Source organism: Homo sapiens, chromosome 6, assembly GCF_000001405.40.
Source record: "Homo sapiens chromosome 6, GRCh38.p14 Primary Assembly".
NCBI lineage: Eukaryota > Metazoa > Chordata > Mammalia > Primates > Hominidae > Homo > Homo sapiens.
In genome coordinates, this window is record NC_000006.12 from 96,946,369 (window position 1) to 96,970,774 (window position 24,406).

Consider the following 24,406-nt stretch of genomic DNA (forward strand, 5'->3'; position numbering starts at 1 on the left):
TTATTTGCCATGTTTATTGTTTGTCTGTCTTCTTGTGTAGACAGTTAGCTCCACAGGGCAGGCATTTTGTCTGTTCTGTTCACTGATATGTCCCAAGAACCTAGAAGTGCCTGGATATGGTGACCACTAAATAATTACTTGTTGATTCTTAAGTCAAGAATCTGTCACTTCACTGCTATGAGCTAGGAATTATTGTAATTGTTTTGTGAGAAATAGGTAGTGAGGAACAAGGGCCTGGATAATTATTTTATAATATTGATAATTGGACAAGTATGGGAGAAAGCACGGTAGTGGCAGGCCACTTCTGAATTTGTAATTTTCATCTTATGTTTTTGCCATTTTTGCCAATCCTGCTCCAACTAGACCTAAGGTAGATCCTAATGAGATAACAGCTCTTATATTCCCATCTTTCCCTTTACTATTCCTCTGGATTGGCTGATTGTTTTATACTCTGGTTACTTAGGGGGAAAAAAGTGTAAGGGTTAACAAATGAGAAATGATGGTAAAAGAAAAACAAAGGGAACGGCCATAAAATGAGCTGTGAATTGTAGAAAAATATTGGGTTCTATATACTTATTAACAGTGGGCACATATTTAATTCTAAACTTCCTTAGTAGTCATTGTGAAAAAAGCAGCTTGATTACTTTCTTGATTTAAAGCATTTGTAAATGTTAAAAGAAATTTATCTGGGAGGCCATTAGGCTGAGACGGCTCCAGCACCTTGGGTTCCTACCTAAGTAAATGAAACCAGTGTTAATAGTAAAATGAAACAAACATAACCAGCTGAAATCATCAACTAACCACTAACTGGGGACTTTCCACCAATCATATCCAAATAAGGCAAACACCTAACTGTAGCCAATCAAGTAATTTCTTAGTTTTGCTTCTGCATTCAACCTGTGTAAGCCTGAAGCTCACGCTGCACAGCTGAGTTCTCTGAACCTCCTCTGGTTCCAAGTGATGCCCAATTCATGAATTGTTCATTGCTCAAATAAACTGTTATATTTAATTTGTCTAAAGTTTTTATTTTAACATAAATAAGACACAACCACATGTTAGGAACATCGATACAATTTATTTCTTTATACTAAGACCAAAAATAAATCCCTCTCAAGGATTCTCATGAAAAGGACACTGTGTGATTAATGTCATGAGCAATGTCTTACAAGCATCTTTACAGGGTTATCACATCTCTTCTCTGATGCTTTTATTAATGGCATACCTCAATATATACAGAGATGGTAATTTGGGAGTACAGATGGGAAGGTATATTGCCTTTTGTACTCTGGCATAATAATGATTAAAACTAACACTTTCACGGATTTTATGCTCTTTGCATTGTTCTTAGTAATTATATTGACTCATTAAACTCTTATAAACATGCTGTGAGGTAAGTAGTATTATATTAATCATATTTTATAGAATGAAGAAACTGAGGCAGAGAGGAATTAAGTACTTGTCCAGAGTCACACTGGTAGTGGCTGGGGATTTAAACCTAGGCAGTTTGATTACAAAGTTTGCACCCTTATCTTATGTCAAAAGGATACTACACAGTGTCCTTTTCAGAGAATCCTTGAGAGGGACTTCTTTCTGGTCTTGGCATAAAGAAATGAATTGTATGATGCTCCTAAATGTTTGGTTTGGCTAGATGCCTTTCTGGAATCCAAGGCTAGATTTTAGAGGATCCAGAAGAGAAATGAACATTTTTCAGAAAATTGTCTATTGTAGGTTACTTAGAAGTTACTGGGCAATTGTGAGAGTTTTTGCTCTCTGGAAAATCCCTGAAGTCTAGCTATTCCGTGTTACTAATGCTAGACGCAGCACAATGTACAATGAGCGGTGTGAATTTTAGTCAGACTTACCTGGATTCTAATCCTGGTTCTACCACTTATTAGATTGGTGATCTTGGGAAAGTTATTTCACCTTGTACGTCAAACTTGAGGTTGGTTCATATCCTCTGCTTGGTAGATCATCATAGTTGGTATTCCTAGACATTTCTCCAGAGAGACCAAATATTTTTGTTTTTAATAATGTGGAGAAAAAAAATTCAACCAAGACATCAGATGATTCCTGAGACCTACAGAAAAATTTTGTGATGTAGGTGTGTCCTTATGTGGGCAAGTCTCTTTTTTTGTGTGTGATACATAATTATTGAAATCATAGGATATACTTTGGGTCTGTTTCTTCATGAAATAAACATGATGGTTTTATTTTCACTAATAGTATTTAGCAGTTTTAAGTACAGGATATCACAAAGGGTAATAATATCTTGGTTAGAGAATACACTTTTTTAAAAAACAACATTATGTGATCATAGATTTTGTGCATTAGGAAAATTAGGATTGATGAAGGAGGGATTTAACTTCAGTCACTGTGATGGATTTGACAGCCTTTTTCCCCTCCACCTCCCCAATGCAATTCTCTCTCAGATTTATCCTCCCACTTGTCGAGCTCACCCAAGCCTATTGACTGAGCCAAGAAAACATACTCCACTCTCCTCCTCTTTTTCTGACTCATGCGAAAAAGTCATGTAGCAATTCAAACATTTCTGAAATTACAAAACATAATGTAGAAAACTTTCTTATCTCCGACTTTAGAATCTTTTTTATTATTTTGATATTTGCATAAGTAAGATTTTAGATTAATTTCATTTCTTCAGAGGCTTTCCCTGACAACACAGTAAACACCTGTTGACTCAATCACATCACGATGTTTTGTGCATTTTAGCAGCCATTGTTATCCAGTGTTTTCTTGTTTGTCTATTTACTGTTTATTCTTCTTAGAATGTAAGTTCTGTGAAAATAGGGACATTGCATGTCTTGTTTTAAACTGTGTCTTCTAAAGGTAATGGCACATAGTAGGAATTAATAACTTTTCAAATGGATGAGTCTTTCTAAAATCCTCATGCATTTTACTTCATTTAAATTGAGTCTCCATAGCTCCAGCTCTGATATTCTAGTTAGTCAGTTTTCTCTTCATGCAATTCTTTTTGCCATCCTTCACATTTGTTCACACTTGTTATCATTGTTCATTTACCCAGATCCAGTGTCTCTGGGTTCATTTCTAATGTTGCCACCATCTACCCCGACCAGCCTTTCTTTCCACAGATGTAGACTTGCCACCATCTTTTTGTGTAATGTTGACTGAGTTAGTATTTGATAATCTCATTTTTATTTTTGTAAAAATTGTGAATATTTTCCATTTGACTGACTCACAGTGGTGAGTCCATTTGACTGACTCACATTAATAATACAGATTATTAATGACATCTCTCATTTACTTTCATAAGATCATATCTTCAGAGTTCCCTGGTGAGATTAATGATTTTGCATTGTTTAAATATTCATAGTGTAATTGGTACTGTGATTCCGAAAGCAGAACTTTTCTCTCTTTTTTTCCCCTCCTAAATTTTAATATTTCACAAAGGTATTTAGTAGTAGTAAAACTAAGGAAGGGAAATTCAGTAGGTAAATGGTTTGCCACTAATAACTGGAATTAAATTTACTGACTTAAAAATTTTTTACTTAAATCAATATTGTTTTTTCTTTTTTAATAGTAAAATTATGGCTAGTGTTTTGAGTGCTCATTATATTTTCAAAGTGCCTTATCTTGCTGTTCAGTTACTCTGTAAAAAGCAGGACAATGTAATATTGTCTTAAAACAGAGCCACAGTGTATTTTTCAAAGCCAAGATTTTAAAGTGATATTAATTTAAAAATTAAAATGAAATTTTGATTTCTTTTGAGTTTTGATATCTCAAAGTTGTTAAAATTATGTGCATATTCTGTAAAAGACTTAGAAGCACATTTTTAATGACAGAGGCAAGTGTTTTTGGAGGTGTCTGAAATTTCTACATTTGTGTTAAAAAAAAAAACCATTAGCTCTCTAAACAAGAACAATGTCTAAACAATACATTTATTAGTAAGTGTTCTAGGAACATAGCTCATTCTAGCAAAGAGAAGAGTGGGATGTGATCCCTGCCCCTATAATTCATAGTTAAGATGTCAGTTAACATGAAGCTCAACCCAGCTGAAGGAACTTCACCTCATGCCCACGTTCTTTCTTCTACCTTACATCTCTTTTTAAAAAGGAAAATTATGCTCTAAGTGATAGCTTTTATCAGTTGTCACGTTAAAAAAAAAAAACCCAGACACTTTGCTTTACAAAATCATTTTAATCTTACTCCTTTACATGCATTCCTGGTGTATGGTAAGTGCTATTTAAATATTGAATGAGTTGAGTGAGTGAGTGAATGAGTGAATGAGTGAATGGTTAGTGAACGACTAGTTACAGTAAATTCTTTGTTATTCAACCTGGCCAGATGTATTTTCATGGAAAACCAAATATTTTATCTGAGAGAATTAGCATGTTCGTCACACCAATTAACATAACCAGTTGAATAGCTGAGGGTTGTCCTCTTTGCCATAGACATTGATATTAGTAACAAGACAAGGGCATTTCACATATGACTCTTGTTCTACTTTGATTCCACAACAGAAGACATTCTTATATCTGAGAGCCCATGAGATGATAGTGAGAAAATGCAATTTTGGGGGTAGACATGTGCATATAGCTGTCATTGATTTCTTAAACTCAAGAAAGCCTTGTAATACAAATTACTCAGTTTGAACAAAAAAAAAGTACTTCTCACAAAACGTGTAATTCTGAATGTTTTGTAAGTTAGGTTAGAACTGTGACCTGATCTAAACATAAAGTGGTTAAATAGAAATTTAAAACATGATATTTAAAATTTTATTATTAATAATGGAAAAATATACATGGGTCAGACTCACATGGTCTCGGTTTGATGATAAGGGAGACTTCAACAGGCTGAGTAGGACAGGGAAGAAGCCAGGACCAGCTTGGGTTCAGGCAAAGGAAACAAACTGAGCTGTTTGCATGAGAGGAGATGTCAACAGCCCTATACACCTTGTTCCTGGAGTATTATGAATTTGGGCTGCATTTACCTAGTGTCTGTGGCTAGAAGTTGGGTACTATAAGGGGACAGCAGCAGGAGGAAAGTTTGCGACTAATACTCAGAGTCAGGTGAGCAGTATGTTGTTTCTAGGTCTATTTTAAATAGTTTCCAAAGAGGGCTGGGCCATGTGGGGCATGTTGGACAGTGCGCCACCCCACACCCTGTACCTTAACCATCGCTGGTAAGGTAGTTACTGATACCTTAGAGTTTGCCATCACTACCATCATCTTACCATCATCATCAAGACAATATTAATTGCTCACTATTAATATTGAGCAATATGCATACCAAAACTGGTATGTACTTTGGATTGTCTCATTTAATTGTCTGTCTCATAAATCGCATTAGTTATAATTTAGCTAATTAAGTTGTATACCTTGTGAGATAAGTTTTATATATTTTTTAAATTTAGCTTTTATTTTTACCAGTGTTATATAAAGAGTCAAATAATCCACAAGGCTTGTTATGTGGAAGTATAGAAGAGGCAACTGCTTTCAATTATTTTAGCTGTTTCTTTAGATAGCAGCAGGTCCTGGAGTAGCGTTGTTTTGTTCAATGCCATTTCATTACAAGGTCAATCAGAGAAAAAAATTGATTCCCAGCTGGGACCACTGTCTGTGTGAAGTTTGCACATTCTCCCCATGTCTGCATGGGTTTTTTCCAGGTACTTTGGATTCCCCCCACATCCTAAAAATGTGCACATTCGGTTCACTGGTGTGTCTACATTGTCCCAGAGTGAGTGAGTGTGAGTGTGTGTGAGTGCACCCTGTGATGGGATGGCATCCTGTCCAGGATGGGTTCCCGCCTTTTGCCCTGAGCTGCTAGGATGGGCTTCAGCCACCCAAGACCTTGAACTGGAATAATTGGGTAAATAATTATCTTACTTGTTTTTATTAATGTTTCTTAAATGTATGTATAGCTCATATTAATTTCATTGTTTAATATTAGAAGTGTTTTGGGCATTTTTTAAAAGAAGTTTGGTGACTTTTTGTGACCAGAAATATGCCATAGGAACTTAACTCTTGTTTTTATGAATTAGCCTATGGTAAAATTGAAACTGCCTTTGTAAAGAATATGACAGCAAGAGAAATTTGTGATGGCTGACTCCATCTTGCTTCTAGCCTCACAGGCTGGCTGGACTCACTTATTCCTAGGTGTAGGCCCAGCTAACCATGGGAGGAATTTAGCTAAAGTCTAACTTTGAAGCAAGAATCATAATAGCTACTCCCTAAAACTGACGCTTCCTTGTTCAGGGACTGAAACTACCTTTTGTAAGACTAATGAAAGGCCACAAGATTAGGATTGTGAGAGGGGCCTGAATTCTGTAAAGAGGTGAGCATAGCTTGCCTTTCTATAATCATTTACTGCACTGTAGTAAATGTATCATCACAAGGTGATCACAAGATTTGTGACTTCCCCAGTTGTTCCCATAGATAACATCACTATTGTAGAACCTAAGGTTGGTCTTTTGAGATGTTTTTCAGACCTTTGTATTCTGGTGACCAATTGACTCCACCAGGACCCATGACTTATGACTCAGCCAGGCCTATGGCCCCCACCCAGAGGCTGTCCCAGCACATAAGGATTGTTTACCACAACCCTGTGAGTTCATCCCCAATCAATCAGCAGCACCCATTCCCTGGTCCCCTGCCTGCTAACTTACCATAAAAACCCTAGCCTCTGAGTTCCTGGGGAGGCTGATTTGAGTAATAAACTCCTGTCCTCTCACTTGGCTAGCTCTACATTAATTAAACTCTTTCTCTACCACAAGACTGCTGTCTTGGTGAATTAGTTTTGTCTGTGCAGCAGGCAAGAAGACCCCATCAGATGATTACAAATTTGATTCATTATACATTGTTTCCAAGAATCTATCAATAATGTATGTGAGAACTTACTTTATTTACGTCCATATTTCTCAGTAACATGCTTATGTTGCCAGTCTTGGTTTTTGATGTTTGAGTTGATTGGTTTCCCATGAAAAAAGATGAAAATTTAGGTTTCTTGCCAAGCTTGTTGGCTCATGCCTGTAATACCAGCACTTTGGTAGGCTAAGGCAGGAGGATCACTTGAGGCCTGGAGTTCAAGACCAGCTTGACCAACATGGCGAAACCCTGTTTGTACTAAAAATACAAAAATTAGCCGGGTGTGGTGGCACATAACTGTAATCCAAGCTACTCAGGAGGCTGAGGCAGGAGAATTGCTTGAACCTGGGAGGTGGAGGTTGCAGTGAGCCGAGATTGTACCACTGTACTCCAGCCTGGGTGACAGAGTGAGACTCCATCTCAAAAAAAAAAAAGAAAATTTAGCTTTCTTCATTCATTCCCTAAAATCACGCCATCATACATACAGGCTTCCCATCCCTCCATTCTCTCAATTAGTTACACTGATACTTTGGTTGGATCATTATTTCATTTTTATATGGTTATGACAATCTAAATGTTATTTATATAATCAAACCATGATTACTTTTCCTTTCCTGCACTACTTTTGTTTTTCATTAATAGTTGTCTTTTTTTTTTTTTGCTTATGTTTTTATATTGTTATCAACAATTCAATCCTCAAACTCTCCTCTAGCTGTAAATTGATAGAAACCACATTAGGTTTTCTGTTTCACCTTCTGGTCAAAGTCTCTCTGGATCTTTCTGAACTCCTCTAGTTTGCCTGTTTTTAATAATTGTAGTTTGGGAACTTCCTTCACTATCACCTGAGAATTCCTATCATCTCTTTCTTGTGTTGAATCCTTGGTCTCCTGAATCACATGTCTTCCTTTTCTCAATATGTACTCCCTTGTTTAGGTGGAAAACATCCTCTAATAACTTCCTGGGAAACAATGCCTGGGAGATAATTGCTTGTAATTTGCAAGTCTGGAAACATCTTTATTCTATTTTTAGACTTTAAAAAAATGATAATTTGTTTGGATATGGAAGACTACAGTGGAAAAAATTGTTTTAGTTTTCTTTCCTTCAATTTTTTTTTTTTTTTTTTTTTGCTTAGATAATTCTCTTTTCTTTTCAAAATTTTGGTGATGCTTAGATATTCACTCATATTAAAGAGAAAAAAAACTGGCTGGAAGCTCTGAGCACATGGGCAGGCTTGTTATGCAGCGATTACCCCATAAAGTGATCTGGTTGAGCCATTTATTTGGGAAACCTATGATGTCAGACTTCTTAGGTTTGGTGTTGGCTTAGTTATATTCCCCAGAGAGTAATCTTCTAATTTCCCTGGATTATATAAACCTAGCTGCTGGCATTCTGGAAGTTGAATGGAACATGAAAGCTTAGGGGCTCCACATTTTCTGTGTAAACTTTCCCTCTCTTTGTTTTTCAGATGGCACCTCTACCCTCTACTGAACGTGGCATTCCCCAGTCTAGAGATACTTTTATTTTCTCCAGAGAGCAAATATCCATTCTGTCACTGGGATGAGACGGACAGTAACCATGTAGTGCAGATTAGGGGAAGGGACCTAAGAGTTCAAACTGCTTTTTAAATAGATTTTTTTCTCCTAGTTTCTCTATTGTCAACTGTCTTAGCCAGCTTGGGCTGTTATAACAATAACAAACTACCATAGACTGGGTAGCTTAAACAACAAGTATATTTCTCACAATTCTGAAGCCTGGAAAGTCAAAGATCAAGATGCTGCCAGATTCAATGTCTGGGGAAGACCTGCTTCCTAGTTTACAGATGACCATCACATTGTGGAGAAACGAGAGAGGAAGCAAGCTCTGTTTTGTCTCTTCTTATAATAGCATTGATCCCATCATGAGTGCGCCACTGTCATTACCCAATTACCTCCCAAAGGCTCCACCTCCCAGTACCATCACATTGGATATAAGAGTTTGAACACTTGAATTTTGGGGGAGACACATTCAGTCCACAGCATGAACCTCATACTCATACCATTGGTTCCTGAGTCTTTTGGATATATATTCCTTGATGCAAATTGAGTTTTTTCTTTGAATTGCCCATTGCCAGGTTGGAATTTGCCTTTCTTGTCTCCTGCTGAGTCAGTTATTATGCATCCAACTGTTCTGTTCTCTATCTTCAATAAGTTTTATGTTTTTAATTTCTTCTCTTGTTCTCTTTGATCTTGGGGGTTTATTGTTGTTTTTTCATCTCTTTACTATAGTTTCAGTGAGGTTATTTCCTCAAGAGAAAGATGAAAAAAATATTTTAAATTAATGTTTCCTTAAATCAGGGTGTGAGTTGCATTCAGTGCAAACATTTGAATGGATATGTGTTCAATCTGCCACTTTTAACTTTTGGTAAGTGTATTAGTCCATTTTCACACTGCTGATAAAGACATACCCGAGGCCAGGCACGGTGGCTCATGCCTGTAATCCCAGCACTTTGGGAGGCTGAGGCAGGCAGATCATCTGAGGTCAGGAGTTCGAGACCAGCTAGGCCAACATGGTGAAACCCCGTCTCTACTAAAAATATAAAAATTAGCTGGGCGTGGTGGTGGGTGCCTGTAATCCCAGCTACTCAGGAGGCTGAGGCAGGAGAATTGCTTGAACCTGGGAGGCAGAGGTTGCAGTGAGCCAAGATTGCACCACTGCACTCCAATCTGAGCAACAGAGCAAGACTCCATCTCAAACAACAATAACAACAAAAAATATACCCAAGTCTGGGCAATTTACAAAAGACGGATGTTTATTGGACTTACAGTTCCATGTCATGTGGCTGGTGAGGCCTCACAATCATACTGGAAGGTGAAAGGCACGTCTCATATGGTGGCAGACAAGCAAAGAGAGCTTGTGCTGGGAATCTCCCCTTTTTAAAACCATCAAATCTCATGAGACTTATTCACTATCACGAGAACAGCATGAGAAAGACCTGCCCCCATGATTCAGTTACCTCTCACTGGGTCCTTCCCACAACACTTGGGAATTCAAGATGAGATTTGGGTGGGGAAACAGCCAAACCATATCAGAAAGTTTCATTTTTATGCCCCTTTTACTAATTAGGAAATTGAGATGTGGAGAAATGTAGTAACTTCATGAAGGTCACATAAGCACTATTGGAGCCAGAATATAAACCTCTTCCTCCAACAGTCTTCTTCCAGAACCCACTCTTCTTACCTGTATACTATGCTGCATCTCCATGTAGTACAGGTTTCTCATTTTACAAAACTGTAGCTTGGAGGTCTCCATATCTTTGAGTGTGTTGTGCTTCTCATTTGGAAAGCTTTCTCCTTTCTCTCCATCCTTTAGTGCTCCCCTACTTGGTCTTTACTCAGTATTCTAACCCACATGCCTCTCCTTTGGTAGGATAAAGTGGTGCAGCAGAATGTAAGAGCTGGGTTTGAGTCTCAGCTTCAGCAGCTACCAGTTTTACCTTAAGCATTTCAGCTTGCTGAGCCTCTCCTTTTTCTTCTGGGAAAAAAGCTCATTTAATTCTTATAATGTTCGATTGTTGTAAGAATTAAGTGTATTAGCACATGTACATACATACGCCTAGCCCATATGTAGGCACTTGAACAACAGTGTTTCCCCAGTTCTAATGTTTCTTGCAGATGTAAGAAGCACATCAGGTTTTTCAAGGCAAAAAAATAGTAGCACATTAAGGTATATAGTGATTTAAAATACACCTCCAATTTTAGACATTATAAATGAGGAAAATTTGTACCTCTCTCAATAGAAGAAAATGCAGAATGTCTTATACTGTTAGGGTAACTGCAAATGTGGATGTTATGCCTTTGATTATAAGCTTTTTGATTTATGCCAAAGATTATAAGCTCTTTGAAGACACAGACTATTTTTAATCTTTTTATGTCACTCCTGATATCTAGTTCAATGATTAATGGAAATGTATTAAGCGCTTAGCACATATTTGATGAATGAACAGTCTATATATTAAAATTCAAAAGTAAGAGCATTTCTCTATTTGAAAATGGAGTCTGGATTACATCTAGATCATAAATTTGGGAACTCTAAATCTCATATTTTCTATTTGCTAAAAGGCAAAAATTAATCACTGGAGAATGGTCATTTGCTATTGGATTAAGAACTTTTTATTACAGGACTTTCTAATTAAAATAATTACATATATGTAGAATGTTCATTTTGTCATATTATAAAGTAATATGTTATTTATCATACAAATAATTTCTGTACTAGCAAAACACTCAAGATCTACATTGTGTCATCTATAAAGATGAAGATGAATAATTTATTTTAATTTTAACTGGTGTGAAAGCTTTAAGAAATTCCTTAATAAAAAAATTTTCATAGCAATATTTTTAAAAAGCACCTCAGGATGTTATAATTGCAGGTTAGGTTATTTTGACAAGACTGTGTAACTGATCCATGCATTTTATGTTTCTATTCATAGAGGAGTGATGGAGCTAAAAATTAAATTAAAATAAGAGCTGAAAAGGCATGTGCTAATGTGACTGGAAGAACTTACACATTATATTTTAATTTGGTTCCCAAGGTCTCCAGCTGTATTCATGAGGGTGACTAGATACCTTATCCTTATTCTTATATAAAGAAACTTTTATTATTTAATGTAACATTATTTTAGGGAATGAATTTCGTAATACAAACTAAAACATCATGATTCAATATATGCAAATAATCTGTCATGCTCCTCATTTTTAAAACAGAATACATTGTACTTTTACTTTATCTGCTTTGGAGGATTTTGTAAGAATAATGGTAGTCCATGAGGATTTAAAACAGTGAGCAAGATAGATGTGGATCCTGCCCATATAGACAGGATGACCAGATAATTTATCATCCAAACTGGGAAACAAAAGAGAACAAATGGGATGTGATTAGTAAATTGCACTGGGACAATATGCAAAACATAACCATTCCAGAATGAATGATCACCTCACTTAAAGAACTTATTGTCTAGGGAAGGGTTACAGGTAGAAATGAAACTAGGGCAGTAGACCCCCCACCCCAACAAGTAATTATATAGAGTGCTGATTATGCTGTGAGTGGGGATCTATAGGTGCTATTGGATCATATAGGAGAGTAATTAACTGTGACCTGGGAGGATCAGGGAGGGCTTCCCAGAGGAGGTGACATCTGAAACCTGCAGGATGAATAGGGGTTAACCAGGCAAAAAGGAGGGGTAGAAAGTTCTAAACAGTGAAGATGGCAGTTACTGGTACCCTGAGGGGAGAGAACAATTGAGTGTTGATGAGTATGTCTGTATGACTGTAACCAGAAGAAGAAGGATCAAGTGGTAAAACACAAGGCTGGTAGTGTTGGAAGGGGTACTAATTTAAGAAGTTTGACTTTATCTCAACAGCTTTAAGTAGGGCAGTGAGACGATCAAGTGGGCCAAGAGCTATTGCCTGTATTCATTTGATCATCATGTATCCAGTTATCTTGGCTAGAACTGGATCTTCACATCTCTCAGCACGTGGAGCTAGGCAATGTTTCCCCACCCATTGGAAAGAATTCAGAAAGGGTCATATCTGACAGACTAGTGGGTTACCCATGGAAGGTAGCTGGGTAGAAGGAGTGCCAAGGAAAAAAAAATCACCCTAAGTTATGCAGAAGGCATGCAGGTGCACACACAGCTTGGCCTCAGGGATGGAGTGTTGGGAGGTGATGGTGCTTCAAGCATATGGCTGTGCGTCTACACTTTGGACCCTCATCCCTCTCTGCTTGGACCCCCACAGTACTTATGAAAGCTGGAAGGGAGTGTTCTGGTAAAACAAGCAAATTATATGCCTGGGTGTTGAAAGCAACTTCCCAGAGAAAATTTCCTCCAAGAGTGGTGGGGTTTAGCACCTAGAGAAAGATGAGCGCTGATTGGAAAATTGAAAGCTGGGGGCCAGATGCTCCAAGAGGACAGTAGTGGAGAGGCCACTGTCTCAGGCCCCAGGAGGCCTCCAACGTCATGGATTCCTCAGCATGCCTGTGGTCCAGCTTTGTCTGAGCAGAGCACAGACCATCCCAGACCTGGAGGTAGTGTGGTCTGCAGGCCCGGGACAGCTTCTGAGCCACAGTAGCATGGAAGAGACTGGCAAAGGGCTGCCATAACAAAGTACCACAGACTGGGTGACTTGAACAACACAAATTTATTTTCTCACAATTCTGGAGGCTACAAGTCTGAGATCAAGGTGTTAACAGGGTTGGTTTCTTCTGAGGCCTCTCTCTTTGGCTTACAGTTGCTGCCTTCTCCCTGTGTCCTCACGCGGTCTTTCATTTGTATTTGCATGTGTTTTAATCTCTTCTTAGAAGGATGCCAATCATTTTGAATTAGAGCCCACCCAGTAACCTTTTAACTTTGATTACCTCTTTAAAGCCCAAATCTCCAACACAGTCACATACTGAGGTATTGGAAGCTTCAAGACATGAATTGTGGGGGGACACAATTCAGCTCACATCAGGGCCTCCTTGGGAGACACTAGCATGCGGTGGTTGCAGGTTCTGATCCTTGGCCTTTGGTTTCTATGGATCAGGAAGGCCTAGGAGCATTTGAATCATCTTCAGAACAATGCCAAGTGTCTTATGGTCCTATTTTTCACTTCCAGTGACAGAGGTATTACCTTACATAGTCTGTGTGCATCTTAGATTATTGGAAACTTCCTTTGTACTGTTGGTCTTTGGTCTCTTTAGCACTTCAGGGTATGACTGTGTCCTAGAATAGTTCCCTTTTTTACTGTTAGGTGTGGTTAAGGGTATGGGCTCTGTTGGATTTGAAGCCTGATTTCACTATTTATTACTTGTGTGTCTTTCAGTAAATTCCTTGACCTCATTATGCCTTATTATCCAGATCCATACAGAATAGGGGTAGTAAATAAGCTAGGGAGAAGTTAGCACTGTGCTGCACACTTATTACATGTTTAATTAAGGTTTTATCATCTTCATCATTATCATCATTGTCATCACCATCGTTTCCTTTTAACACGACACTGAGAAAGGCCTGCACTGCCACTCACATGATGACCTGTGCAGGAAGAGGAGGACTAGCATTTTCCCTATTCTTACTGAACAATTCTCGTTTACCGTACTTTTCCTGGTCATCTTCCCATAACTTGTCTTTCCCATCTAGAAGCCCAAAACCCCTTTACCTTTGATTATCCTAAGATCGTATGTAAGGCCAAGTTCTAACCACTCCTTTGAGTTACTCATAACTAGGGGCTCCCACATGTATTTATGTTGAACATGTTAATAAACTTCTGTTTGTTTTTCTCTTTAAAAATTATAAGGTATTATTGGAGTATTACACTAAAACATTATCAAACAAATATGTGATAATAGCATGAATAAACCAGTGTTGGCAAAAAGAGTCAAATTCTGTAAAATATTTTGAAGGGATTTATTCTGAGCCAAATATGAGTGAGGGCCCCTGACACAGCCCTCAGGAGATCCTGAGAACATGTGCCCAAGGTGTTCAGGATACAGTTTGGTTTTATACATTTTAGGGAGACATAAGGCATCAGTCAATCATGTAAGATGTACATTGGTTTGGTCCAGAAGGGTATGACAGCTGGAAGCGGGGGCTTCTGGGTCATAGGTAGATTCAAAGATTTTCTGATTGGCATTTGGTTGAAAGAGTTTAATTATTGTCTAAAGACCTAGAATCAACAGAAAGGAATGTCTGGGTTAAGGTAAGGGGTTGTGGAGACCAATGTTCTCATTATACAGAAGTAATCCCCAGGTAGAGGCTTCGGAAAGAATAGATTGTAAGTCAGTTGTCTCCTGGATCAGGAAAAAAATGAAGGACAAGGAAGGGGATTCTCTTCAGAATGTAGATTTTCCCCACAAGAGTGAGCTTTGGAGGACTATTTCAAGACATAGCAAAGAAGACATATTTGGGGTTAAAATATTTTGATTTCCTTCTTTATCTGCCATGTGATATTATGCCAGAGTCAGGTTGGAAAGTCAGCCACATTATATAGGGTTAAATAAAACCCCTTGGATGAGATTTTTTGGTTTGTAGGGCATGACTCCCCAGACCCCTTAGATAGGAATTTGGGCAGTAGAAGAAAAAGGTCAGAGTTGAGTTCTTCACCAGTCTCTTATATGTTGGTAGGATTGGTATGCATCCACATAATTAAGGTAGCTTAATTTTTGGTATCTTATGTTTATTGATTATATTAAACTAACTTACCTTGTCTGGTCCTTCTTTCTTTGTATGTCATCAAGACCTATAGGACACTTACTTTTTTCCTACCCCTTTTGTTACTGGCTGGGCTCGTTCTGCCTGTATGCAGCAAGCTAATCACTGTGGTGACAGTTTTTGCAAAAAAGAAAAGACTTTATTCACAAGGCTGCAATGTGCAGGGCCAGGGAAATAAATCTCAGATCTACCTCTCTGAAAATAGGGCTTGGAGGTATGTATGTGATAGAAAGTGGGGTGGTCTAAAGTATAGGGAAAGATGATTGGTGAGTCGGAAAGGTGAGGTAATTAGGGCTTCTGCACAAGGGTAATTGAGCTGTATGGTTCTTCATAGGATATATGTGCAGAAAATGGTGGCACTAGCATAATGTGATAATGGAGTTTTTGGCTCTCTGATATCAAAAAGGTCCCTCTTCAGGCAGCTGTTGCAGGCCCAACCTGTGCAACCAACTTGTGAAGTTGAAGGTCTCAACTGGCTTGAACTAGACAAAAGCTGCCCCCTAGTTTCTGAAAAATAACTATAAGCACCGTTACTACCGTGACCCATAGTCAGAGACGTTACCCATAAGGTAACTAGTGGGAGTTTAGTTATGTATTTTTCGGTCATATAACTTGCCAGTGGCAGTTTTAAGATCAACTAGAAGTAAGTAATTAAAAGCTAGCCAGCTAGTTTGGAAGGCTTAATCATGTTTCACTTGCTCACTATTATGGTTTAATAAGATATTTATTTTGTCTGTGTAAATATATTTTCAGGTTTGACTTCAAAAAAACCCAAGTGAGACTCTAGCAACTTTGAAACATTTTAATAAAAATAAAGACTATTAAGAGGTTAGACCCCATCAATCCTATGTACCAGATTATATTTGAAAAGAGACTTACCAGAAATGGAGAACGTTCCACTAATGAATATTTCCTAAGGGTGAGGATGGTAAATAATTTCAATTATGTGAAAAAATTGCTGTATTTTAAGAAATTTTTGCTGTGTTTCTGGGGGTTAATGCCCAGCTTCCTCTGGAGAGCTTGGAGACGGGGGTCTGAGTCTTCACCAGCTGTAAAGTTGTCTTGAGAACAGTCCTTGAAGGATTGCTGCTATACACATTCTTGGTATTAAAAACACTAGTATTTGGCATATGAACTACATTAGCAAAAAGTGAAACAAAAGAAAAAATTCACAGAGATACCTGTCACTGGAGCAAATCACTACATGATTCATATTTGTATTCTATAATAAAAGAAGACACACAATGATGTTTACTGAGACCCTGTGATGTGTCAGCCTTTGCACTAGGTACACTACATACACTATACAGCCCCCTGTGATAAGGTGATATTATCTGTATTTTTAGAAAATGAAGAAACTGAGTCTTGGGAAAGGTAAGAAACTACCCTAGCCTAGCTGCATATTGATATGTGCAAACAGCTTCATTTTGTAAAATGTGTGTTTTATTTTTGTTTGCAAGCTGGATTTATTTGGTTGTATTTTTCATCACAAAGACTGAAATTTGTGGTACTAGTCTTTTGGGGGTCATTACTCACTTTGAGAAGTTACTACAGTAGCTGAACTTTTACACTGTTAAATGAAAACCACTATGCCTGTTGTAGGGGAGGGGGAAAAATCTTTTTTCCTCTATCTTAGATTTTTCAGCAGGGCCTCCATATGTTAGACCACCAAAGACAGATTAGCAAGAGAAAAACAAACAGAAATTTATTTCCATGTTCATCACAGATACATGTGGGGGCACCCAGTGATGACTAACCCAAAGGAGTGGTTAGAACTTGGCCTTATATACGATCCTAGGATTATCAAAGGAAAAGGGGTTTGGGGCTTCTGGATGGGAAAGACAAGTTACAGAAAGATGACTGGGAAAAGTACTGTAAACAAGAATTGTTGAGTAAGGTTTGTTGTGCAGATTGAAGTCAGTACCTTCTCCATTGATAAGAGTTAGGAGTCCTCCTCTTCCTGTTCCAGGAGAGGAAGAGAACTTCATTTACAAAAAGAAATTATGAAAATGTTCTTTATAAATGTAAATTTTCTTTACAAAAGGAAAACGGTACCCTGTGTTTAGAGCTACTCCTGCATCTGCTGGTTCTCAATGGCTTTTAGGTCAAAATGATCCCTGTGCTGAGGAGGCATATTTTGGGGTGGCTATTCTGGTACCCTCCCTGCCTTGCTTTTTTATAGTAGTTATGCAATAGAGGCAAATCCCTTCCTCCTTCCCGGGTTCATTAAGCTGAACTGAGAGGCTGATGGATACTTAAAATTTTAACATGTTTTATTAACTATTTTTATACATTCCTTGTCTTTAAATGTTCAGTAAAATCAATAAATTCTCTGTTCACCAAAATAATATTGCCATTATTCAGTGGTTGACCACAAAGCTCCTGAGGTCATGCCCAAGGACAGGGCCTACTTGAAAAAGAGCTCAGAGGAGCCTGACTAGGGTTTGGTCTGGAAGAGAATCTTTGTCATGCCAATGGCTCAGAAGATTGTAGATGATCACAGTTGAAAGAGATCTCAAAGGTGATCACTCTTAAGTGACAGAAAAAGAGCCACCTCATTTGCTTCCAGCCCCACATAGCACTCCCCTGGGGTTTGTGATAAATGCAGTTCTATCTCTTGAGAGTGTGTGAGCAGCCCTAAATGCTGGCTACCTGGAGAGCAACTCTGGCCTTTTTTCATATTGCTCTGCTTCCTAATGCTCCACTCAGCTGGCTCAGCTCTGATTATTTCTGGATTCTGAGGAGGGGAACTGCAGGAGACTGGCCTGGATTTCCCTGGGCTGTAGGGGAAAACAGCCTTGGGTTAATCCATGTGCGAGGCATGGGAAAAAGTGCAAGGAGGTGGGAAGAGGGAGAAGAAGTGTCTGCCTGGAGCTTACAAGTAGCCATGTTGTTCACTCTATTTATGGTGAGAGAAACTTTTTATAAAAACAAATATATGGTCGGGCGCAGTGGCTCATGCCTGTAATGGCAGCGCTTTGGCACGCCCAGATGGGTGGATCACAAGGTCAGGAGATCGAGACCATCCTGGCTAACACGGTGAAACCCCGTCTCTACTTAAAATACAAAAAATTAGCAGGGCGTGTTGGCCGGCGCCTGTAGTCCCAGCTACTCAGGAGGCTGAGGCAGGAGAATGGCGTGAACCCGGGAGGCGGAGCTTGCAGTGAGCCGAGATCGCCCCACTGCAGTCCAGCCTGGGCGACAGAGCGAAACCCTGTCTCAACAGAAAAACAAAACAAAAACAAAAACAAATGTGTTTGCTAGCAAATTTTAATTCAATATATACATTTTAATCAAGTATATAAATATATGGAGGATATAGGGAATAATAAATAGTAAATAATATGTAGTAAAAATAGTAAATATAACAAACCTTTTCCAGTGGTGATTAATCCTTAACTCATTTTAACTCACCTTTTGAAAAAAATAATTTCAACTTTTATTTTGGATTTAGCATGTACATGTGTAAGTTTGTTACATGGGTATATTGCATGATGCTGAGGTTTGGGATACGGATGATCCCATCACCCAGGTAACGAGCAATGGAGTTTTTTAGCCCATGCCCCCAGTCCCCTTCTAGTTGTCCCCAATGTTTGTGTTTCCTATCTTTATGCCTAGGGATACTCAATGCTTAACTCACTTAGAAGTGAGAAGAACATGTGTTATTTGTTTTTCTGTTCCTGCATTAATTCGTTTTGCATAATGGCCTGCAGTTGCATCCATATTGCTGCAAAGGACAAGATTTTCTTCTTTTTTACAGCTATTAATACATAGTATTCCATGGTATATATGAACCATATTTTTTAAATTCAGTCTACCACTGGTGGGCACCTAGTTAATTCACGTTTAAAATGGTGTCCATTCCCCTAAGCTTTGTAGTATATAGCGGATTATGATTCAACAATTTTAGAAAACACCTGATTTAGTGAGTTGGTCTCCAAACGATAAATGTCTGTAAAAGAGAATTTCATCTATCTTATTATTTTTAATGATCATGTTTGAAATGAAGCATATCAAGTTAGACTTATTAGTTAGATGCCATTTAATTTGAGATTATTTTAACTTTAGGATTTTTGCTCTCCATTCAGTTGTTGGGAGTGTTTTAAAAACACTGGACTTTCAGAAAGATTAAGGTGTTACAACTCCCTATAGTAATCAATATTCTTTGCAGTTTTAAAGCTCAAGTGTCCATGCCTGTTGGAGTTTGTGTTAGGCTACAAAAGATGAGTTTATAACCTAGATTCTGAAAGGACACTGTAGCAACATTAGGTTGCTAAGCAAGTCCCTTGGCTACTTAAACAACGTGCCTTGAATTATTCTGACTGCCCGTGCTGCTCAGTCATAATGGAGCAATTAAAAAATGACACTCACTTTTAGGTTTGTCCAGACTTAAGTTAGAAATAAATGGAAGTAGAGACATACTATTTTTAATAATTAAAAAAAGAAAATAAGAAATAAAAATATAGTTGTGTGAAAAATGTTCAAAGCAACTCAACAACCTAATGTTCAATAAAATGGAATACTTAACCAACTATGATATACTATATGAAGTATGCAGTCATACCAATTGAGGGTTTGTACACAATATAACAAATATTATATTTCACTCAGATTGTAAATCATAGCTCTCTCTTTTATACAAATCATCAGAAATAGGCACAGCTTAACATATTCCTTTCATAAGCACTTTCCTCCTGTTATTGCTTTCCAAAATAAAATTGAGACAGAAGGAAGCCTATTTAGCTTATCCAGATTATAATTAATTTAGCCACTTGGGTGTATTAGAAAATGGGAGCTAGACCCTCTACTGAGGGTTGTAAAGTGTAGTCATGGACCAGGACCCAGACTATTCAAATAATTTATTTTTCTAGTCAGAGTTACTCCAGTGATTAAAAACAAAGACACGGGATGGGGGCAGGGACTAAATGAATAAATGTGCTTGAATAGCCAAGGAGCAATTTCAAGCCTGACAACTGCATCCTGTTATATATTTCAATCATGCAATATTGAAGCCCCTATAAGAATCCATTTTTCATTTCCTACTGATTTTTATTCTCTCTCTATGTTATTTTTTCCACCTACTTTTCAGAAATCTGCTCTTGAATGGAAAATTATATTTCTGTAGACACTTAGCCATGAGGTACTTGATTTTAATTTAATTCCACTAATCATATTTGGAAGGAAAATAAAATCTCTATAAATGACAAGTCAACTAGTATTTGTGGTTTAGATCATTGTGTCTTTATTTTATCCAATCTTAATTTCTTTCCTTTGGCCATTCCATCTCTTGTTTTAATTTTTACTTCAACACTTAATTACTATTGTTGATTCTCAAACATATTTTACTTCCTAGTCCTTGAAGCTTCAATAATGTGAAAACACTTAAAAATATCCAGAACAATTACTTGTTTGTTAAAGGAGCATTGTGTCAGAACGTTTTATGTGGACAGTAAAGCTCTCCAAGCTGTCTCCCTGGAATTCAGAAACTTTAGCATCAGGAAGACCCAGAGTGTGCTTTTCTGCATTTAGCTCAATGCACCCTTTTCTCTTGTCTTTTTATTCAGCTGGAATGCTTGCTGATTCCTCTGCACACTTCTAAGGCTGAGAACCTGAGGAACCCAGCTGGAAAATGCCGTCTGAACGCTGCCTCAGGTATGCCCTGTAGGATATGTCCTCACATGCCGTAGTGAGCCCTGAAATAAGTGCATTGCACGTTCTAGGATCAAGCACAAAGCAGGGGCTTAATGCATATTTGAAGGAATCATCAAACTAGTCAGAGCTTTTGTGAATTTACTGTGGTGGCACAAGGACTAACTGCTGTGACCTACTTATTTGTCAAACCTAAATATGTTTCCTGATTCTTTGAATGATACTATTTTTTAATCTTTTTTTCTTATTTAGGATGCTAACTTCCCTCAAACATGAGGTATGCTAGTATAAAGGTATATCACATAAAAAAGGAATCAAAAAACTATACATATATATGTGTGTGTGTATATATATATATAGATGTGTATATATAGAGAGATGTGTATATATATATAGAGAGAGAGATAGGGATAGAGAATGAGAGAGAGAGAGAGAGAGAGGGAGAGCCCTCTCTAAGGCAATCACTTTGGGGAGTACAATGCTTATTCTCAAAATGCTCACAACATTTCCTTTTAATAATTCATTTATTTAATAGATATTAATTAAGCCAAACACTCTGCTTGGTGCTGAGGACCCAGCTATGAATAAAACAGATAAGGTTCCTTCCCTCTTAAAATGTATATTCTATGGCGAAAACAGACATTAAACAAATAAGCACACCAGTAACGACACAAAAATAATTGTGAAAGTGCTCTGAAGGAAAAGTACAGGATAGATAGAGCAAGAAAATGCCTTCCTGAGAAAGGCTGTATACCTGAGATTTGAAGGGGGGCATGCCCTGAGGCAGGAAGGAGCTTGGCACATTCCAGAAACTGAGGGGCAGCCAATGAGAAAATGCATGGCATTCATTTGAATAGTCTCACTGGAGGTAAATCTGCATCATCCTCTGAGGGAACAGTCAAAATATCTTCAGAGCAAAGAATAAGAGAGATGACAAACCTGGGGAATACATTTTTCTTAAGAATTGGGTGTCTGTTAAGTAATGAGACCAGCTTCTTTCCATGACTCTGAAGCTATTAGAGGTGATTTGTTCCAGAAATGTGTTGAGAACTGGTGACATTGCTGTAGCAGGTGTAACGCCTCTGCACTCCCTATGTGAGTCTGTTGCTCTCAATCAGTGATTCTCAATGGTGGATGGTTTTGCCACCAGTGTACGTTGTGCAATATCTGACAATGTTTTTGGATGTCACGGGGATTGTGGATACATTTGGCATCTACTGGGTAGAGGCCAGGAATCATTTTAAACATCTTGCAATGCATAGGGCAGCCCCCTACAGCAAAAAACAAAAAACAAAAAACAAAAACAAAAACAAAAAAAAAAACATCTAGCCCAAAATGTCAATAATACTGAGGCTGAGAAACCCTGCTCTAGACCTGGCATCCAACCAATACAGCACATGGAGACCATGGTGTCTGTCTGTCACCACCTCAGCCAAGTTATTTATTTCTGGCTACCAGGATCAGTGTGCATACTTAAAATAATTTTTTACTTTTAAGTCTGCCATCCCGTTCTTATTAATCAACTGTCTTCCACAGTGCAGTAATCTCTATGATGTTCTCTCCTTCTCTGCTTCAACCCAGAGCCCTCCCTTCCCCACCTCTCAGACTCTCCCACTGTGCCATGTGGAAGTGTCACAACACAACCACATGCTCTGCTGTATCATCTCCTTGTCCTGAAAAGCTCTGTTTGCCTCCGACTTCATTGAGACCCATCCTCCTCTGAGGACCATTTCCCTTGTAGCCCTCTCAAAGTAGTGGCATTATTATTTCCTCACATCCCATGTATTTCAAGGATGGGTAGAGAGAGTGTCATCCTCCTAGGGCATGGTTTTGCTTCTAGACCATTACTCCACAAATTGATTGTTTGAGAAAGCCACAGCCACAAAAACAACAAAGACATGCTCTTCTGAAGATGATGCCCTTTATCTCTCTCCTCTTCCTAACTGTAGTCGGGGTCATTGTCCTTTATTCACTGAGCATTTCGGCACTTGGCTTGCAGTCTTCCTCCTCATCACAAACCCCTTACTACACCCCCAGGGCCCTCATGTCAGCCTGGAGGATATGTCTGCTTCATGGTCCTTGGACCCTCAATCTGCTTATCTCCAAAGACCATCTCCCTGCACTCAGCCACTCAGTTTCATGGCCACACCTCAGACCTTGTTATCCTTAGTAATTGCTCTGTTTCTGAAATCACGCTATCAGCCATTTTACTCTTACCACAGCCTCCTCTCCTTTTTCAAAATATGGTTGTACTTTGACCTCATTGTAATGTCTCATTTTCTGGCCCTGCTACTTTCTACCAACCCATCCAGTCTTTCCTTTCCTCATTTTCCTTCTTAAGCAGTTTAGATTCTATCACTGTTGCTAAACCCTTAAGTTCTCTCATTTCCTGTATTTTTGATGCATTTGCTTGAGAAAACCCCAATCCAGATGAACCGATCTATTCATATTTCCATGCCTACGTTGTCTAGTGGAGACTAGTTCCACAAAAATCTTCAGATTCAACAAGCCAAAAAGTGCCCAGAGTTTTAGTATGTGATTCTGGTCCACTGATTCCCTGCCACTCAAGAGGCAATCCTTTCCCACAACTAGGCCAAAACCTGCCTCTGTGCTTCAAACTTATCTTTCATATCTTCTCAGCAACCTTTGAGTGTTGCTTGTTTCTCAGCCATGTTCTTGAGATACAGCTGTGTTGTCACCTTCTCTATGCAGATGAGTCTCAGATTTACATTTCTAGCAAAGACTCCTTTCTGAGTTCCAGATCCAGGAATCAAACTACATATTTGACATTTGTGCTTGGATGTCTTAAAGACAACTCAAACTTAACATGTCCCAAACCAAATTCATCATCATTCTCTTCTACAATTCTGATTCTCTTTCATTTGTTTCCTGTTCTGGAAATATCAAGTTGTATAAGCCAGAAATATAGGTGTCTTCTGGAAATCTTCCTCCCACTCACCTCCATATGTAATCTAACACCAAGACCTGTAGATTTTCCCACTAAATAGCTTTTAATCCCATTCACCTTTCTGAAACTTCATCTGAGTGCTCCTTGGGCTCCAAGGCCCAACTCCATCATTCAGCTGAACCACAGCCACAGTCCAGGTCTGCTCTAGTCTGGCCCAGTCTCCCCTACTGCTCTTGGTACTACAGCTTGAATGACCTTTTCTGTGACTTCCCATTGCCCTTAGGATAACCTGGCCCAGAATTCCTGCACAAGTGGGCTCAGGCCTCTGCTGCTCGGGCCTTACCTGCACCGTGTTCTCCTTTGTCCCTAGCTGTTAACTTTCTGTAGACACTCTATAAGGGCCATGCTCCCTCCTGCCACAGGATCGTAGCATTTGCTGTTCTCCTGCCTGGAAAACCTTCTCTTTCACTTTTAAAAGATTAACTTGTTCTCATCCTTCAGCCAGCAGCTCAAGTATTATTTCTTTAGGGAGGCCAGATTATTTGATTAATGTGTAACTGCCCTACTACACTGAATGTTCCATGAGGGCTGCTACCACATATGGTTTGCTCACCATTTTATCCCCAGTACCCAGCACAACACCTGGCACAGGCTTAATAAATATTTGTGGGGTAAATGAATGAGGGAAGGAAGGAAACAAAACTATTCATTCATAATTAAGTTCCTTTCTACAGAGTTTTCATTATTTAATAATTGTCTAAGCATACTGTATCTTCTTTGCTTATT

General features: G+C 38.5%; 1 protein-coding gene across 15 annotated transcripts in view, besides 1 other annotated feature; it reads left to right on the plus strand.

Annotated features, from left to right (window-relative positions):
• The window catches only part of KLHL32 (kelch like family member 32), a 242,671-nt gene that overhangs the window by 48,286 nt on the left and 169,979 nt on the right, over positions 1-24,406 (plus strand). For all 15 annotated transcript variants that reach the window (NR_136580.2, NR_104421.2, NM_001323258.2 and 12 more), the window contains one exon: positions 20,628-20,715. Coding sequence is in view for 12 of the 15 variants with exons in the window: in NM_001323258.2 (NP_001310187.1) it covers positions 20,693-20,715 (23 nt within the window). In the remaining 3 variants the exon portion in view is untranslated. The remainder of the gene's footprint in view (positions 1-20,627; positions 20,716-24,406) is intronic.
• Positions 6,452-6,652: a silencer, noted in NCBI's record as "peak5970 fragment used in MPRA reporter construct". NCBI's record gives its function as "represses an SCP1 promoter by STARR-seq MPRAs in K562 erythroleukemia cells {active_cell/tissue: K562}" and the evidence as "EXISTENCE:reporter gene assay evidence [ECO:0000049][PMID:32103011]".